Raw genomic sequence first — 20566 nt, forward strand, 5'->3', positions numbered from 1 at the left:
CTTTGGGAGGCCGAGGCGGGTGGATCACCTGAGGTCAGGAGTTCGAGACCAGCCTAATATGATGAAACCCTGTCTCTACTAAAAATACAAAAATTAGTCGGTCGTGGTGGTGGGTGCCTGTAGTCCCAGGTACTTGGGAGGCTGAGACAGGAGAATTGCTTGAACCTGGGAGGCAGAGGTTGCAGTGAGCCGAGATCGCGCCACTGCACTCCAGCCTGGGCAACAATATTGAGGCTCCGTCTCAAACAAACAAACAAACAAACAAACAAACAAACAAACAAACAAAAAACAGCCGAACTCTGGGCAAGAACAGTGGGACTCTTGACTCAGGCCTGCTTTCAATCTCCCCTTCCTGCTTGGTCAGGTGCAAAGGTTCTGCCAGGGTAGGGTAAACCATGAGGACTGATCCTGAGGCTGTATAAATGTGCACAGGAACAGGGAGTGGGCCCAGCAGAAAGTAAAAGCCAGGGCAGATGTGGTTTTGTGGCCTAAACTTTGAATGTGTTCTGCTATGCGTTGGCAGAGAACAGAAGCTTGAAGGGCTGAGATATTTGAATACAACCTCTGTTCAGTCACTGGTTGACCCATAGGCTATACAGACACAGGGGTGACCCCGAGAAAGCCAACTTTAAAAAGAAAAAAAAATGTGGAAAGTTGTCAGCAGCTGCACATTACAATGCAGTGGGAAGGGGACTTAGCAGCTTTACAGATCTAACTGAAACAAGTTACCAAACAAAGAACAAACAATCCAACAGCAATGATAAACTTCATGGGGAAAAAATCAGACTCTAGAGTTGCTAAAATATACTATCTAAAATGTCCTGTTTTCAGTGAAGTGTAGTGTAAGACATACACAAAAACAAAAAAAGTATGTCCCATATTCAGAAAAAAAATCAGTAGAAATTGTCTCTGAGTGTACCCAGACACAGGATTTATGAAGACTTTAAAGCAGCTATTGTAAATATTTCCAAAGAACTAAATGAAACTGTGTTTAAATTATTAAAGGAAAGTATGACAAAAATGAATCAACAAAGAGATTCTGTAATAAGGAGACAGAAAGTATATTTTTAAAAAACAGAACTAAGTAGAAGTCACAAGTTGAATAATACAATGACTGACATGAAAAATTCACTAGAAAAAAAATGACTGAAGTGGCTAACAGCAAATTTGAGATAGAGGAAGAAAGAATAAATGAACTTAAATTAATAGAAATTATTGAATCAGAAAAATGGACACAAAAATTGAAAAAAATGAACAGGACTATGGAAATCTGTAAGACAATAGCAAATGTACCAGTATACATATAATGATAGTCCCAGAAGGAGAGGAGAAAGGGAAAGGGACAGCAAAAAGAAATAATGGCTAAAAACGTTCCAAATTTGATTAAAAACATTAACTTATGCATCCAAGAAACTCAACAGACCCTATGTAGGAAAATACAAAGAGGTCTACACTGCAACATATTTAGACATATCCACACTTAACCAAATTGTTGAAAGGTAAAAACAAGAAAATTTTGGAAACAGTAAAAGGAAAATAACTTACATAGAAGGAAGCAGTAATGTCTAACTAATTATCAAAAACATGGAGATCAGAAGATATTGGAATGACACAGTCAAAGTGCTGAAATCAAGAAGCAGCAGTAAACCAAGAATTCAGCAAAATTATCCTTCAAAAATGAAGGTGCATAAAGACATTCCCAAATATAGAAAGACTGGGAGGATTTATTGCTAGCAGAACTGCCTTACAAGAAATACCACAGGAATTCCTTCAGGCTGGAGAGAAATGACACACCAGGTAGTAACTTAAGTCCAAGGAGGAAATGAGGAACACTGAAAATTGTAGATATGAGTTCATAGAAAAGACAAAAAAATATATATTTTATTTATATATAATTTATTTATATATTTATATATTGTATATATAAATATATATTTTTTATTTAAAAGACATAAAATTGCATGTAGCAACAATTATAAAACCATGCTATTGGGATTAACATATATAGAAGCAATATCTAAATATGACAATAATAGACAAAGGAAGGGGGCTATGGTAGAGCAAAGTTTCTACCTTTTGCTAAATTAAAGTTACTATTATTTTGAAGTAGATAAATGATCTTATAAGATAAGTGATATATTAAGTGATAAGATGCATATTGTAGGGATACAGCAACCACTTAAAAAAAAACCTAAAAACTAAATACTAAATGAAAATTAGTAGAGAAACTAAAATGGTACAGCAAAAAGCATTTAACACAAAAGAAGGCAGTAAAGGAAGAACAAATAAGACAGTAAATCTAGAAAACAAGTAGCAAAATAGCAAATATAAACCCACCGTGTCAATAAAGTGAATATCTAAACATGCCAAACCAAAGGCAGATTCTGTTAAGCTGGATCTTCTGTGCGTGAGAGACACACCTTAAATTCAAAAACACAAACAGATTGAAAGACAAAGGATGGAAAAGGATAAACCATACTAACAGTAACCACGAAAGAGCTGGAGTGGCAATATTAAATATCAGACAAAATGGATATTAAGATAGATTTACTAGGATCTGACACATGTTTCATAGTGATAGTACAGGGGTAGCTGTAACAGTTACAAATGTATATGCACTAATAATGACCTCAAAATATAGGAAACAAAACTGAACTGAATTGAAAGGAAAAATAGACAATTTAGTAATAGTAAGTGGAGGCTCAATACCCCATTCTCCATGATTTATAGAAAATTAGCAAGGACATTGAAGACTTGAACAAACTGTAACTGACATGTATAGAACACTTCACCCAGTGACTGCGGAACACACATTCTTATCAAGTACACACAAAACAATCTCCAAGATAGATCACATGCTAGGCCATAAAACAAGTTTTAGCATTTAAAGGAATTGAATTCATACACTGTATTCTGAATTACATTGTACACTGATTATAATAACCATAACAATCAAAGTAGAAATCAACAAGAGGAGGAGATCTGCTAAATCCACAAATATTTGAAAATTAAAACAGTATACTTCTAAGTTTAAATGCCTATATCAGAAAAAAAGGGAAGGTTTTTAATCAGAATCTTAGCTTGCACCGTAAGAAACTATGAAACAAAGCTAGATGTGGTTGTGTGCTCCTGTAGTCCCAGCTGCTTGGGAGGCTGAGGTGTGAGGATCACTTGAGTACAGGAGTTCAAGACCAGCCTGGGAAACACAGTGAGACCCTGTCTCTAAATTTAAAAAAGAAAGAAACTATGAAAAGAAACTGTAAAAAGCAAAGTAAATCCAAAGCAAGCAGAAGAAAGGAAGCAGAAATCAGTAAGATAGAAAACAGAAGAATAAGAAAAGTAAAACCACAAGGTAGTTCTTTGCAAAGATCAGCAAAATTGGGAAACCTTTAGCTGGTTCCAAACTGTGCATAAAAAGGCAAAGGAGCTATAATGTCCAAAACAATTTTGCAAGAGAACAAAGTTGGAGGACTTACACTATCTGATTTCCACACCAACTATAAAACCACGATAGTTTTAAGACCACAGTGTTTTTCTAACAAATGGCACTGGGAAATTGAATATGCACATGCTAAAAACAAAATGAACTTAGACCCTTCATACTGTTTGCAAAGGTTAACTCAGAATAGCTCATATATTTGTATATAAGAGTTAAAGCCATAAAAATTGTAGAAGAAAACAAAGGAGAAAATCTTTGATGTTGAGTTAGGCAAAGAAGTATTAGATGTGATACCAAAAGCATGGTCCATAAAAGGAAAAATTGATAAAGTAGATTTCCTTAAAATTAAAAACTTGTGCATTCAAAAGTCACCATTAAGAAAATGAAGACAATAGAGTGGGTGTGGTGGCTTATACCTGTAATCCCAGCACTTTGGGAGGCCATGGTAGGAGGACCTCTTGAGCCCAGAAGTTTGAGACTAGCCTTGACAACATAGTGAGACCCCGCCTCTATGAATAAATAATAAAAATATAAAAATTTTAAAGAAGGAAAATGAAGACAAGTCACAGACTGGGAGAAAATATTTGCAAATCATGTATCTGATAAGGGACTTATATTCAGAATATATAAAGAACTCTTGTAATTAAGTAAGACAGACAATTCAGTTTTAAAATGGGCGGAAAGTTAGATATTTCACCAAGAAAGCTATTTGAATGGCTAACGAGCACATGAAAAGATGCTCAACATTATTAGTTGTTAGGGGATGTAAATTAAAACCATAACAAGATACTACTAACATCAGGAGAAGGGCTATTATCAAAATGACAGTACCAAGAGCTGAGGATGTAGAGAAACCGAAATCCTCATACATAAAGGTTTGTGGGAATGTAAAATGGTACAACTACTTTAGAAAAGTTTGGCAATTTTATAAAAAGTTAAACATAAGCTCATTATGTGACCCAGCAATTCTGCTTCTAGCAATGTAATCAAGAAAAATGAAAATATATGTCTACACAAAGACATGTACATGAACGTTAATAGCAACATTATTCATTATAGCCCCAAACTGGAAAGTCTAAGTATCTAAAAACTAGTGAGTGGATTAATGAAATGTGGACATCCAAACAGTGGAATACTAAGAAAAAGGAATGGCCTGTTGATACCTGCTACAGTGTGGATGAATCTCAGAAACATAATGATAAGTGAAAGAAGGCAGCGTCAAAAGACTACATATTTTATTATTTTACTTATATGAAATGTTCAGAAAGGGCAACTTTATAGAGACAAAAGGCAGGTCAGTGGTTGCCGAGGGCTGGGGATGGGGGTGGGGATTAACTGTAGATGGCATGAGGAAACTTTTTAGGGTAATCAAAATGTTCTAAAAGGCCGGGTGCGGTGGCTCACGCCTGTAATCCCAGCACTTTGGGAGGCCGAGACGGGCGGATCACGAGGTCAGGAGATCGAGACCATCCTGGCTAACACGGTGAAACCCTGTCTCTACTAAAAATACAAAAATTAGCCGGGCATGGTGGCGCGCGCCTGTAGTCCCAGCTACACGGGAGGCTGAGGCAGGAGAATGACGTGAACCCGGGAGGCGGAGCTTGCAGTGAGTCGAGATCGCGCCACTGCACTCCAGCCTGGGCGACAGAGCGAAACTCCGTCTCAAAAAAAAAAAAAAAAAAAATGTTCTAAAACTGGATTGTGATGCTAGTTGCACAACTCTTTAAATTTACTAAAAGTCATCAAATTGTACACTTATAAGGGATGAATTTATATAAATTATCCTTCAGTAAAGTTGTTAACACAAAAATTTGACATTATTAAACCACAAAATTTTTTTTTACTTATTTTACACATGATTCCTATTTCTGAAGAAACCAAAACTTGTTTCATTCATTATATTAAATTATTTCATTTGTGTCAACTATGCCAAAGACTAGTGATTTTGGAATACTAATCAGCTTATTCACACTTTAGGTAAAGTTTAGTCTCAATACATACATAGTTGATTAGGGGTCGAAAGATTTACTGTGCTTCCCAAATTTTCTAATCATGAAGGAAGTAACTGGCTATCTCAGAATCTAGTGCAATATCTAATTAATGTCATGGTGTACTTTTGGGGTAGGAAATTGATAGGTATAACTATCCTATTATATTACATGAGGATGAGGGAAACAAAGTAAGTTACTCAAGGCCATGTTTCCCATCAGTTGAAAAGCCATAAACTCAGTTCAGGTGTCTCTCACACCCCACAGCTAGAATGGTATTAGACATAGCTCCCTTTCAAGAAAAATGGTCACTTGGCTATTAATCAAGACTGCTTGTTACCAGGGTTGAATTTAGAAGTTGTTTCTTTTCAAATATTGGTTTTCCTTTGATTTGCCAGTTGGATTCCTGTTACTCACTAAGTCCGTCTTTTTTTAGCTCTTGCAGTTCAATCCTCTGGAACGACTTGGTGCTGGAGTTGCTGGTGTTGAAGATATCAAATCTCATCCATTTTTTACCCCTGTGGATTGGGCAGAACTGATGAGATGAACGTAATGCAGGGTTATCTTCACACATTCTGATCTTCTCTGTGACAGGCATCTCCAGCACTGAGGCACCTCTGACTCACAGTTACTTATGGAGCACCAAAGCATTTGGATAAAGACCGTTATAGGAAATGGGGGGGAAATGGCTAAAAGAGAACAATTCGTTTACAATTACAAGATATTAGCTAATTGTGCCAGGGGCTGTTATATACATATATACACAACCAAGGTGTGATCTGAATTTAATCCACATTTGGTGTTGCAGATGAGTTGTAAAGCCAACTGAAAGAGTTCCTTCAAGAAGTTCCTCTGATAGGAAGCTAGAAGTGTAGAATGAAGTTTTACTTGACAGAAGGACCTTTACATGGCAGCTAACAGTGCTTTTTGCTGACCAGGATTGGTTTATATGATTAAATTAATATTTGCTTAATAATACACTAAAAGTATATGAACAATGTCATCAATGAAACTTAAAAGCGAGAAAAAAGAATATACACATAATTTCTGACGGAAAACCTGTACCCTGATGCTGTATAATGTATGTTGAATGTGGTCCCAGATTATTTCTGTAAGAAGACACTCCATGTTGTCAGCTTTGTACTCTTTGTTGATACTGCTTATTTAGAGAAGGGTTCATATAAACACTCACTCTGTGTCTTCAACAGCATCTTTCTTTCCCCATCTTTCTATTTTCTGCACCCTCTGCTTGTTCCCTCATATTCTGTTCTTCCGACTCCTGCTAACACACATGCAACAAAAAAGGGAAGGGAGTGCTTATTTCCCTTTGTGTAAGGACTAAGAAATCATGATATCAAATAAACATGGTGAAACATTAGATCTCTTCTTCATTTAATAACCCTCCCCCCTTTTTTTCCTTGAAGAAATGCGTCTGTTCCTTTCCTTGTGAAATATTATCAGTTTCTACCATTGCTTCTCATGCTTGACTTTGTTTTACTTTTTGGCTTGGTATACTAAGAAGCAAAGGATCTCATCTAAATGGAATTGAATGGCAGTCCTAGTTTGTTACTTATGGTGATGAGATTTTCAGATTTGAACTAATCTATTTGACGTGATTTAGAAAGAATGTAAGTATTCACACATCTCCAAACATTTGTATTTGTTACTTCTTTTTGTTGCTAAGGTAGCTCCTGTAGTTATGCATTGTTGCAAAAATTTACAAATGTTTTAAAAGTGTTAACATCTGTTTTTTTTTAAACGTTAGCCAAAGAAGAAGTCACTATTTCCAAGTTAGAAACCACCAGAAATAATTGAAATTTTTGATATGTTCTAATCTTCTTTGCATTTTTGAGATCTGTGTGAGAGCCCAACCCCACTCCAGGAGCATCTGTACAGCTTCCATCTGCCATCGACCAGGTCCTCTCATCAAATTAAATGGAACAGAAAATGCTCTAGTGAAACAAAGGAAATGTGCAAGCATTTTTCCTTTTTCTATTATTCTATTTCCCTTTTTCCTTTTTGGCCCCCTTATAATCCAAACCCCAGCTGAAAGGCTGCAACAACACCAGGTTGGGGAGCAGGTCACCAGGATCATAGTTCAGTCAAAATGACATCACTCCCTGGAACTAGATTTCAACTCACTAGTCCCCTGGCCTCATAACAGGAACTTATGCAGGTGAGACACAAGAATGACTTCCTGTGTAGGACTAGTAGGAAATCTGCAAGTACTTAGAGCTGGCCATTACAGAACTTCCTTCCAGAAGTGCCCTGTGACATGAAAGTAGGACTTCACAACTAAGGTGAAGATCCCTGCCCTACCACATGATTTGAGTCTCTTGGATTCAAAGGACATTAATGTCAACAGATGGTTGCCATGTCAGTCTGTTGACACAATTCCATTGCTTCAGTTTCTCCCCTTTTCTCTCTATATGTTTGGTTGGAGCTTGTGCCTAATGTAAATACATCATTCATAATTAGAATGGACATTAATTATTTTAGTAATAAACACAGGATAAATAGCTTTGGGGTGATGAACCAGAGTCTGTTTTTATTTTATGGTGTGTACATATTTTAAGCTGTACTTCTGTGAATGGTACTGATTTTTGTGGTTGTTTTTTTTTTATATTTTGTTTGTTTAAGCAGAAGAGTGGAATATGGGGTCAAAATCATAAAAGAAGTTGCCATGAGTGTTTCTCATTTGATTTTTTTATCGTAAAATATACATAACATAAAATTCACCATTTTATCCGTTTTAAAATATACACTTCAGTAGTGGCATTAAGTACATTTTTGTGCGACATCACCACTATCCATCTCCAGGACTTTTTCGGCACCTCAAATGGAAACTCTGTACCCACTAAACAATAACTCCTCCCCATTCCACACTCCAGCTCCTAGCAACCACTATTCCACTTTCTGTCTCTATGAATTTGACTGTGACTGTTCTAAGTACTTCATATAAGCAGAATCATACAATATTTGTTTTTTGTCCTTATTTCACTTAGCAAAAAGTTTTCAAGGTTCGTCCATGCTGTAGCATTTATCAGAATTTCCTCCCTTTTAAGGCTGAATAATATTCCATCATATGTATTACCACATTTTGTTTAGCCATTCATCTGTCAGTAGACATTTGGATTGTTTCTACATTTTGGCTGTTGTGAATAATGCCATTATGAATATTGATGTACAGATATTTGAGTCTGCTTTCTGTCATTCAATTTTGTGTTTTATTTTTATGTAAAATTACCAATATCATTCACTATTATTCTACCATGATCTTTATAGAAGGGTTTTTCCAGATAGATTGCAAATGCCATTATGGTGCAGTGCCACTCATCCTAAGATATAATATAAAAATCTACTGTTTCTATGTCAAAGATGGATAAGTTAAGCTTCCCAAGAGTGAAAAGAATGTCATTTTAGCCATTTAACTGTGACATGAAATAATACTATTTGAGACATGGACCTTTTCAACTTGTTATAATGACAACATTTTTTTTTTATTTGACAAATAATAGTTATGTATATTTATGGGGTACAATGCGATATTTCTATACATGTATACATTGTAGAATGATCAAATCAGGCTAATTAACTTATCCATCACCTCAAATACTTATCATTTCTTTGTGGTGAGAACATTTAAAATCCACTCTTTTAGCTATTTTGTAATATACAATATGTCGTTAACTGTAGTCACCATGCTATGCAGTAGATTGCCAGAACCTATTCTTCCTGTCTAACTGAAACTTTTACCCTTTGACCAACGTCTCCCCTTACCTCATTCTCCCCTGGCCCGCAGCCTCTGGTAAGCACCATTTTACTTTCTACTTCTATTAATTAACTGAACTGTTGATAATATATTTAGACCTGTCTTTTAAACAGCTGCAATACCTATTGTGTTTTGACCTTCATGCTTTTCCTGTCTTCACTTATTTCAAGGTCAGTGTGAACCAAGATTGATTGACCTTTGCTTTCAAATGGTGCATGTACTGAAGAGCATAAAATGTATAGATAGTACTCATGCTATAACCAGTAACACTATATTAGAGCTCCACACCTAGTATGCCTTGATTGAATTTGCTTGCCCACAAGTTTGGAATCCAAATAGCAAGAGGTCTGACTAGAGCCCTGAGATTCTGCCTCCCAAGGGCTCCTCAGAGCATATTTATCGGATTCACTTAGGGATATCTTTCTAGTAAAGATGATCAGTTTCTAAGCATAAAACTGATCATCTTTTTTCTTTAGAGGACTTGATTTAAACTCTGGTATATCTAAATGGTTTGGGCAGTGGAGCCTGGTATTTCAAGCTCTTTCTTCGAGAATTGTGCAATAATGCAAAGTCTAGAGTGGTGTCCTGGTCATGTCTCTGTGACTAATTAGCCATGTAACCTTAATCAAATAACACTCTCCTGGACCTGTTCCCTTACCTATAGAATGAGAGGGTAGGTGAGTTCTAAGCTTTACAAGTATATGATGGATTTTTGGTTTTTCAGAGTGAGCTAATTTGATAAAACAACATTATAGGAAAGGCAAGGTTAATGAAAGTCTTAAATTGGTACTTAACTGTTTTCTTATTGTTTTTCTAGTAATCCTAGATGCTTGGGTTGCTGCCGTACATCTGCTCAGTAGCATAGCCCTTGGTGGTTATATAGTTGTAAAATTACAATTAAAATGAGATATTAAAAGGTTGTTTCTCATTCAGTTCTACACTGGAAAAGGAGAGTTGAAGGTCCAGATAGCAGTACATAAAGGTGAAAGGAGGTTAGGACCACACCTACGTTTGCCTGTTTCCTAGACCTTTCTCAGTAACTATGGTGGTATTTGTACACCTGTTGCCCTCATCTGTCATATTTTGTGTGTTTATTTGACTCAGTCCTTTGGCAGGCATAATCAGAGTAAAAAATGGATACTTTCTGTTCCTATTTAGTGCAGAACATTAACCTCTACCAGTCTAGGTAATTTAGATTTTTGATTATTTTATGTCTACTAGGCTCATTTTAAGGATTTCATATTAAGCCCTCATGTTGAAGGGTTACTGAATGGCAAAAGCTGTGAAGTCAGCTATTTCTAAATAAAGTTGTAAACAGAATAGCAGCAGGGAAATGGAAAGCAAAGTACTACAGGTTTTTGTGACTCAGCATCACTTACTCTCTCAAGGACAGTAAATAGGAAACCGGAGAGCAAGCTTCCTTTTTGGTAAGATTTATGATCCTGCTGGTGATATGTAGTCAGATGGTTTGGCCTTGTATTTTTGGTCCCTATCACATGATTTGCCACCTTGATCTAGCTGTCTCATCTCAGGGAGAAATGGAGGCAGAGAGAATTTGTGGCGGTGTAAGAGAGAAAGTAACCTGAGTGAGTAAGTTGGGCCAGGGAGATGCAGCAGAGCACTTGGCAGGCATGTTGGCCCAGGTACCTGGAGCAATAGAGAGCCTTCTTTATTCATCTGGATTTAAAGTCTAATTCTTTGTTCTTCCCCAAGGAAGGGTGAGGCAAAAACTGACGCTATTTCTACTATCCCAGGAAAAGAGATGGCCAACCTGCCTTTTAGGAAAGAATTAATTGACATGCTTATCCTAAGTCAGTTCTATCTCCATCTCCTTGCTAAAGACAGCTGGTACAACTGGTAGTTAAGGCAGAGGCCATGAGTGTTTGCGAAGGGCTGTTGTGATTTCTTTTGGGCAGGAATGCCTCTTTAATGTGGTAGGAAAGAATGACAAATGAGCCAGCTTTGGGGTACATTTAGAATTGCTGGCATCTTGCTTTTGTAAATGTCAAATTGAAACACATCAAAAATTTCATATCAACTCTGTTGATCAAATTCTTCCTAAAGCTGGGTGCAGTGGCTCACGCCTGTAATCCCAGCACTTTGAGAGGCCAAGGCGGGTGAATTGATTGAGTCCAGGAGTTCGAGGCCAGCCTGGGCAACATGAAGAGAGCCTGTCTCTACAAAAAATACAAAAATTAGCTTGGGCACGGTGGCACGAACCTATAGTCCCAGCTACTTGGGAGGCTGAGGTGGGAGAATTCCTTGAGCCCGGGAGGTCAAGGCTGCAGTGAACCACGATCACACCACTGTACTCCATCCTGGGCAACAGACTGTGACCTAGACTTAAAAAAAAAAAAAATCTTCCTAAAGTTTGGGTATTTGGTTAGGAATCCACAAGACAGATGTTTGATTAACCCCACCAAGAGACAGATGTCAAAGGGGACTGTAGAAGAATTGGAGCCTGTTTCAGTGCCAATATAATGACTGAAGTGTGTTGTTGCCCTTATTATGTGGGATATACATATAAAATTGATCCAATGGAAAACAAGAAGAAAAGGAGAGGTAATGTTTGCAAGACATTTGAGATAATTTGTAGAACACTTGAGTCTCTCAGGATTGTTATAGGAAGAAAATGTGTTAGATATTTGAAGGGTCTGTCTTTAGCAAAAGGATTCTAAATGACTAAGAAAACTTCTTTAAAATTGAACTCTTCCCCCGACCGTATGCTTCTACTGCTCTCTCAATTCTTCTTTCTCTCTTCATCCCCTCTTCATCCACCCCTCCCTCCCATTATGGGCTTCTCTGGTCTCTGAACAAAAGATATGGCACCTGCCTTCAAGGATCTTATAAAACACAGGGGAAAGAAAGAAGCATAAATAATAAGTAGGGCAGAATGTGGCAAGTGTTATAAAGTACAACTGGAGTATGGTGAGCATACAAAGGAGAGATCTGAGGAGCTGCAGGAAGCCTTCCTGTATAGGAGCAGGACCTTGAAGTGTAGATAGGATTTTTAAACATAAGATTTTTTTTTCCTTTTTTTATATTTTGTTTGGAGAGAAGGAAAGTTCTCGGGGGGACAAAAAGACTGTTGTGTATAAAGGCATGGAGATGGGAAAATGGAAAGCTATGCGTATTCTGTTTTGGCTGGTTCGTAGATAACGTGAATTTAAAAGGTAGGTTGGGGCCAGGTTAAATGCCATGCTGAGACATTTGGACTTCATTCTCTAGGTTGTGGGGAACTAGTGATGTTTCTTGGAGAGCTGGCATTATTGCAGCCTACAGTTAAAAGAGATAATTTTAGGGTTAGAATGGAGAATAAATTGGAGAAAGAGAGATTAGAGGCAGGGAAAGCAGTTTGGAGTTATTGCAGAAATTCAGGCAAGAGATAAAGTCCGCAGTTAAGGTGGTAGAATATAAATGAGGGGGTACTTAATCATCCTCATCTATTTCTCTCAAGTGTATAGAGGTAGAGTGTTCCTATCAAATAATTGCTTTCCCTTTTTCTTGAAGTCAGTTTATACTAGGAGATTATGGACTGTTGTTTGTAAAATCACCCCCAAGGAATCACCAGAGAGAGACAAACCAGGAAAACTTATACACTTTTTCCCCCATTGGTTGATAATGATATTCACTATTCAGAGCTTAAAACCCCTGGGTCCTAACTCACTCTTTGATCATTTTGTGGCACTTTTTCCCACATTTTGCTTTAAATAGTTGGTTTGCTTTCTATTTGGATAGTGTTCTGATCTTTGCTCTTAGAAGACATTACATCCTGCCAGGTGACTTCTCTCTTTGTACCAGACCTCTGACATACATTTAGCTTAGCTCAGTGGTTCTCAAAAAGTGGTCCCCAATCTGGGTCAAGGGAATATGGATGATTTTTCCTCTTCTTGCAACTTTTCTTTAAATTTGAAATTATTTCCAAATAAAAGCTTTAGGAAAATGAAAAAAATAAGTGATCCCCAGGTCATCAACGTTAGGATTACCTGAGAATTAGTTAGAAATGCAAATGCTTGTCCTCATCCCAAACCTATTGAATTGGAACTCTGAGGGCTGCCACAGCGGTCTGTGTTTTAACAAGCCCTTTCAGATGATTCTGATGCTTGCTCAAGTTTGGGAGCTACTGGCTTTGTTTGAATTCAGGTTATCGCCTCTGCCTTGCCTGATCATGGGCATCCTACCCTGTGGTATATGTTTTGAGTTTGAAGACATTTTCAGTGTTTATCATATTTCCTAGGAAGCTTGCCCAGGAGTCCTTGTGTCGGTGGGAAAGGGTGATAGGAGAAGATAGATAATGAAGACAAGGAGGAAGGGAAAAGACAAGGGGATCAGGCAGTTGGATAAAGAGAAAATCGGGGCAAAATGAAGAGCACTTGATGGGCAGTGGTTCAGTTCCCCCAAAGAGATTCAGGCAGTCTGTCAGAGTTACTTGTAATCAAATAACTCACCCTTTGTAGACAGCTTCTGTTACCCATTTCAGAAATAGATGGCATAAACATCAAATTATAGTTATAATTCCTTTGATGACTTGTATAGTGTTGGGTTTTCTGCTGCTGCTTAAGCAAAACCACAGTGGAAATTCAGTATTTAGTCCCTGTGTTGTTCAAAATCTGAATGCAAAGAATCAAAACCAAGTTTGGGAAAGATACCAGAATGTTCTCATTGGATTCTGACCTTGTAGCAGAGCTGCTCTGTGTTTTCTTTAAAACTGGGGAACTCAGTGGGGGATGGTTTCTGGGTAGGCTTGGTTTTACCTTTTAAAAATGGACTTCATAGTAGTAAAGTGAAATTAGATGTTTGCTGAAGGTTAAGTGTGTATGTGTGGGGTGAGGGGAATGTGGGTGATTATCTTTCACTTTAAATTATGGATCTTTTGTTTATAAAGGGCCAAGATTATTAGATGAGATTTTTAATAAAGTATATTTTGACCTCTCAATGGGCACCTTTAAAATGTTTAGATAATCTTGTGTCTTTAACAGGTGGGATTTCAGAGTCAGCAGTTCCTTCATCTGTCTCTATGCTGTGCCTGAACTCAGCCTTAATAATAATGTGCTGTTCTTTTTTTAAAGTGACACTATTGCCAAAATCACCATTTGATAGAACAGGCTTTGCACTGCTTTCTTCCAGTGGTGGGCAGGGATTCCCACTAAATATCCTTCCCCTCCCCTCCCCACCCACACACACACTGATTATGACCAGAGGCACACTCAAGTGTTTCTGGTTAGGAAATGTAGTATCTGGTGAACAGAGAGAGGCCAGTTTGATCCTAGGAGAAGCAACCCTCCAGCTGGTAAATGACCTTAAGGGGCTATTTCCCCCATCTTCAGACTGCAGAGGCCCAGGTGCTTTTCACCACATAGTCTGTCTCTTATTCTCACTTGCGCATATACCTGTCTTTCAAGTGTAAGGCTCCGAGTAACTCTTCATAAACATGATATGGGGGAAAGGGGACACTGGATAGAATTTGCTATTTTGAGAACATGCTTTTTATTGTCATCTCTTCCTTCAAACCCTAAACTGGGGTTCAGCCCACCCTTTCTGGGCCATGCCTCCACCTAATGTGATTAGGGCAGGGCCTGAAGCCTCTATCAGGCAGGTACTTCCTTACCAGCAGAAGTCACAGCAAGGCACAGGGCTGCCTTTTGCCTGCACCCCATTCCTGTGAGCAGAACACCCCTGATCATACCTTTCCTGATTATAGACTGTGATCTGCATCTCGCCCTTGCCATTTAGTTGGCCTTGCTGGCATTGGTAAATCTTGGCACCCAGAGAGCAGGGAGCGACAGCCATCCTGATGTTGCCACTCTCTGTCCCTCTGCTGCAGATTTAAGCTATATCCCGTAGCTTATCTCCACTGTGGGCTATCATGGTTTGAGGGAAAGGAGGGGAGAGCAGTTGCTGCCTGCTGCAGCTGTCTCCTTTTGAATCAACCACCCCCACTCCCCAGGTGCCAAAACAACTCGCTGGGTTTAGAATGCTCCCGTCTCTACCTCTCCCGCCCATTGCAGCATTGGTAGCAGCTTTCCAACGAGTCTTTTGTTGTGGAAGCTCTAAATCCATGGTAGGGAAATTACCAAGAGACTCTTCCACAGTCTGCCCTCCCTCCCCTTGCTCCGTCTCTTTCTTTCCTTCCTTTGTCTCCTTCCGTAGCTAGGGTCAGAATCCCTAGCCAGACTGAGAACATGGTTGCTATTCCAGGACCCAGATGCCAATATGTGGCAGCATCTGGCTTATTGGCAAGCATTGCCGGCAGTTGTGCTGGCTGCTCCTCGGCCTGTCATGTGGCTGAGCCTACTGATGGGGGCCCTGTCACAAAACGGAGTTTCTTTGAGAATATGGTTTCAACCAAGGAGCCCACCAGAAAACAATGAGCTGTGCGGAGAGGACATGAATTATTGGGCAGGGTGACTGCGGACTATAGCTTTGATGCTGATCCTGGACCTGTTTTGCAAAAGTTTCTGTTTCATGTTGTTGAGACGGCTCCTTGTGTAACCTTACCTTCTTGTGCTGTTAGTGTTTCAGGTGCCTTAAGGCATGGAACTCCTTGAAAGAGAAACACAAATCACTAAAAATGTTGAGATAAAATCCTGCTCCTCAGAGGCGCCTGCTTGGCACAGGGAGTGCATGATAACAGCTTGCTTTAGAAAGGTGACATTTCTGCTGAAGGCTGAATAATAAAAAATGCATTTTAAAAACTCAGCTCTTCCGTTTCTTCTGATGGTTGACTTTTGGAGTGAAGGCCATTTCTTCTATGCGAAGGGTCTTTCCGAGGCTAGCCTCTCTAGCCCTCAAGCATGGCCATATTAACTCTTGTCATCATTGATGAGGCTCTGGAGCTTTTAAAATTAATTAGCACATAATAAGGCTTTAAATACTTTTTTCAAGGTGCAAACACTGAGTGCTCTGAAATGTGTCAAACACTGTCCAAGGCATGGAGGGGTAGAGACAGAGATGAAGAACACAGGGTTTCTGCCTTCGAGGATGCAGGTTATTGGTGACCAGATTACATATGCTTTCATTATTTGATTTCTATACAACCTGTACAATTAGGGCAAATGATATGCTCTGTGTTTTACAAATGGAGAAACTAAGGTCCTAGGAAGTTGACTTATTCCAGTTGGCATGGCCAGCTAATAAGATCTGTGATTGGAAACTAGATGGTTGTAGTTCTGCTTCACTAAGTGGATGTACATTGAATTCTTGGTTATACATTCCTAAGGGCAGGAACTGTGTCTAACTTTCGGCAGCTCTGCTCACAACTAACAACCTCTACTCGCTCCGTACATCTCCCTTCCCAAACACATACATGCTATAATACAGGGACTCTGCGAAACTGAGGCCTGTGACAGACTGAGGGAAGGAACCAAGAAGAAGCAAAAATTAGCTCAAATTAAAAGATGTGCTGCTGCTCCTGCTGTTGCTGGGAAGATAGCAAAGATGGCGGTAGCATACTGCCCACATAATCCCCCACAAAAGCATGCAGAGCAACTGGATAGCAAAATAAATTCGTAGACAACATTTGCAACAAAACTAGGTGACAAAACATTAATCCCAAAGTACAAGCAGTTGGGGACGAAATACCTGCAAGACTTGCATGGTATGTGAGAGAGAGAAGGAAGCAATAGTGTAACTTCTAACTTGACCTGAGAACAGGAGAACCCCAAATAGCCAACTGGTGTTCACTGGGAAGCTCAGTGGCCCAATTTGAGAGCAGCAACTGAAGGTGGAAGGTGTTTTGCCCACTCTAACACCTGGTAAGTGCTAAGAGCTCGAGATAGGGGGGATTAGAGGGCTGACCTTTGAACTCTCAAAATTGACCTGCCAGCACTGCCTTCTAGTGCTGGGCCCTATGCTTAGGAGAGATTGCTGGGAGTGGAATTAAAAGGGAATAGTCTAGGGACAAGAGAAGGGTCCAGAGCAAAGGAAGGGAAGAACAGTTGGGAAATTTCAGAAAGCAAGATGTCATGCTTTAAAAAACCACCAAAACAACAGAAGAGGGAGCTTGGTGAAGTTAGAAATGTTTTTTTTTTACTTAACTCACTTTATTCTCATAGTTGAGGAAAACTAATTTCATGTAAAAATGCACAACAGAAAAGAATCAACATTAAGTGCCACTCAAAGATAACAAAAAAGAGAAATAGGAACAGAATAATACCTTTACAAATAAAGGTAGCATTCCAGAAAGATGTGTTCACAAAACAGAGTAAAACTAATAATTACAAAATGAGCTGAAAGATATTTTAAAAAGTATAGAAGACATGAACCAAGAAAAATTAGAAAGCTCAGAAATGAGTTGACAACTCAGGAAAAAATTAGAAATTAAAGAAATATTATTTCAGAAATGAAGACTAAATTAGAGGGCAAAAGAGTGAATAGGCTGGACACACTGGCCCATGCCTGTAATACCAACACTTTGGGAGCCTGAGGCCAGTGGATTGCTTTGGCCGGGAGTTTGAGACCAGCCTGGCCAACATGGCGAAACCGTGTCTCTACTAAAGTACAAAAAAACCGAGCATGGTGGTGCACACCTGTAATCTCAGCTACTCAGGAGGCTGAGGCACAAGAATAGCTTGAACCAATGAGGTAGATGTGGTGAACTAAGATCTTGCCACTGCACTCTAGCCTGGGTGACAGAGCAAGACTTGGTCTCAGAAAAAAAAAAAAAGTGAATAAATACAACAGAAGTATGAATCAACACAACAGAAATATAAGTTGAAAAGGAATTTAAAAAATTTTTTAAGTAAAAAGGATTGAAAAGAAAGTGCCAGATATTGAAGTAGGCAAGAAGATGGAACTTGTTTAGTAGATCACAAAGAAAACCAATGCAAGGGAACTGAACTAATAAAAACTAATTCAAGAAAACTTCTGAAATTTAAAAAAAAGCACCATATGAAAAAAGCACACTGCATAACTGAGAGTGTTTACAGTATGACTAATACCAAAAAAAGGAAAAAGTACTTTGAGCTTCTAGAAGAAAAAGCACATGATTTACAAGGGAAAACATTTCTAGTTACACTTCTCAACAGCATTTTATAGAAGGGCAAAAGTAAAAGAACATTTAAAATACTCAGTGAAAGAAAGAGAGCCAAGGATTTTATATCCAGCAAAACTGACTTTTAAGTATAAAGGGCACATGTGGTTATCAACATGGAGAAACTCAGAAAGTATTTTTCCCTGTCTTAGTTTGGACTACTATAACAAAGCGCCATAGACTGGATGACTTATAAACAACAAAAATTTATTTCTCACAGTTGCGGAGTCTGCAAGTCAGATAAGGGTACCAACATGGTTGGGTTCTGGTGAGGGCTGCCTTCTGGGTTGTAGACGCCGGCTTGCTGTGTCCTCACACAGGGGAGAGCAGAGAGAGGAAGCAAGCTCTCTGTGACCCTTAAAAGGACACTAATCCCATTCATGGGGGCTCTACCCTTATGACCTCATCTATCCTAATTACCTCCTGAAGGCCCCATCTCCTAATGCTGTCATACTGGGGGGTAGGATTTAAGCATGAATTTTGGGAGAACACAAAGATTCAGTCTATTGCAGTTCCCACGAGTTCTTCGTAAGAAACCTAGTAGAGAATGTATTGTAGACAACTGAAATGAGAAAGACCTTAGCATACAAACTAAAGAATTAAAGTTACCTGTAGAAATATGACTAAAGGAGGACTAAGAAGGAGACAGCACAGTGTGTAATGGCTATATGCTCTGACCATGTAATAGAACTGCTTTTCTTAATGGAGAAAGTAGCAAGAGTATATGCAAACGATTTGCAATGTTTTTGGTAATCTTGGTGGTGGTGGTATTGTTATTTTGAGATTTACTGTGTCATGTGGTGCTATGATCTGAATCTTGGTGTCCTCACAAAATTCCTGTGTTCAAACCTAATACCCAAAGCAGTAGTATTAAGCTGTGGGGCTTTGGGGGAAGTAATAATTAAGTGGTAAATGGGACTAGTGCTCTAATAAAGGAGATTAAAGAAAGCTGCCTAGCCCCTTCCACCATGTGAGGATGCAGCAAGAGAGCACCGTCTTTGAAGCAGAGGGCAAGCCTTCACCAGACACTGAATCTGCTGGCACCTTGGTTCTGGGCTTCCCATCCTCCAGAACTGTAAGCAAAAGAATTAAGTTGTTTATAAATTACCCAGCCTAAGGCAGAACCGTCTGACGTGGGACAAAACAGATAATATTGGAATGTCATAATTCTGCCATGTCTTCTGCTTTTAAGAACCAGAATGAAAGAGTCTGATGTTGTCGAGAAGTGGTTATGTAAAAACTGAGGATAGAATTTGAATAGAAATTCTCAATATAAATGTATGAGATGTTTTTATCTTTGAATCAATAATATTTCCTAGTTTATCCTACTGAAAGCCCTTAGAAACAGTGTCCAACTTAGCAGAGAGTGTATCTAGAACCCAGATTGTGGTTTTGAAAAACTGCTTTATTCTAAAAGAAATTAGGGCTTCTTGGAGCAATAACTGTGGTGCAGGAAGTTTACAAAATGCAGCTGAAACATTTTATAAGATAACACAGAAACTATCAAAGATTTTTGGGGTCATGGCAAAAGGACTCAGAGCCTCCTACTGGCCACAGGTGGGACAATTTGACCTTCAAAAATAATAATTGATACATCCTATATATTTAAATGCACAACTTGACATTAAAAAGAATTGATCACCTTTGGAGAATTACAGGGAACCAATTCGCTATCTTGAAATCTGGGAAATGAAGGGATTCAAGCATTTATCCTGATTTTTATGTGAACTATACCACTGAGTATCCAAATAATGAGAGGTAGAGTGTCTTTATAAAACTATTCCAGCTACAGAATGAAAAAGAAGTGATAGAATATTCCCATTTTGCAGTCTTCAATGGATGGATACAGGCATTAAGCATCAGTGGTTGGTAAGATCACAAAAAGACAATCAGACAGGAGCCTCCTGTAGTATTGCCAGACACCACCTTGCTAAAGGGATACAATCTGGGTTTGAAACTGATGTGGATCAAGCTGCTAGCTTGCAGGAAATACAGAAGGCACAGAAACATGTTGACTGCCACCATGAGTATGCAGTTGGCAACAGACACTGTGGGCAACTATAGGACAAATAGTCTGGGTTCTTTAACAGGTAATTTGTAAAGAAATGAAAAGTAGGTAAGAGGAACCAATAGATTAAGAAATAATTGAAAGATATATTTTTAAGAAGTATTTTTAAGAAGTGAAAGACTAAACAATAGTATCTAGAGATGCACATTTGGGTGATAAAATGATTTTTAAAATGCAAAGAAATGAGAACTATAACAGGATCATTGGTGCATTGGGGGAAGGAAGATTATGATTGGTTGGGGCACGTGAAGGAACTTCTGGGGTGCCT

At 38.7% G+C, this 20566-nt stretch overlaps 1 protein-coding gene across 46 annotated transcripts in view, besides 2 other annotated features; it reads left to right on the top strand.

Annotated features, from left to right (window-relative positions):
* RPS6KC1 (ribosomal protein S6 kinase C1) overlaps positions 1 to 20566 on the top strand; it is an 811495-nt gene that overhangs the window by 215420 nt on the left and 575509 nt on the right. For 42 of the 46 annotated variants that reach the window (NR_146210.2, NR_146207.2, NR_146209.2 and 39 more), the window contains one exon: positions 5864 to 8114. The exons of the other annotated variants lie outside the window; for them this stretch is intronic. Coding sequence is in view for 38 of the 42 variants with exons in the window: in XM_047417948.1 (XP_047273904.1) it covers positions 5864 to 5974 (111 nt within the window). In the remaining 4 variants the exon portion in view is untranslated. Of the gene's footprint in view, positions 1 to 5863; positions 8115 to 20566 lie in introns of those variants that run through there. 46 annotated transcript variants of the gene reach the window in all.
* Positions 382 to 431: an enhancer, noted in NCBI's record as "active region_2529". NCBI's record gives its function as "activates an Ori minimal core promoter by ATAC-STARR-seq in GM12878 lymphoblastoid cells {active_cell/tissue: GM12878}" and the evidence as "EXISTENCE:reporter gene assay evidence [ECO:0000049][PMID:35858748]".
* Positions 14935 to 15449: an enhancer, noted in NCBI's record as "H3K4me1 hESC enhancer chr1:213454938-213455452 (GRCh37/hg19 assembly coordinates)". NCBI's record gives its function as "activates a minimal SCP1, AML or CMV promoter by ChIP-STARR-seq in naive and primed H9 embryonic stem cells {active_cell/tissue: H9 hESC(naive and primed)}" and the evidence as "EXISTENCE:reporter gene assay evidence [ECO:0000049][PMID:30033119]".

This window comes from Homo sapiens, chromosome 1, assembly GCF_000001405.40.
Source record: "Homo sapiens chromosome 1, GRCh38.p14 Primary Assembly".
Taxonomy (NCBI): domain Eukaryota; kingdom Metazoa; phylum Chordata; class Mammalia; order Primates; family Hominidae; genus Homo; species Homo sapiens.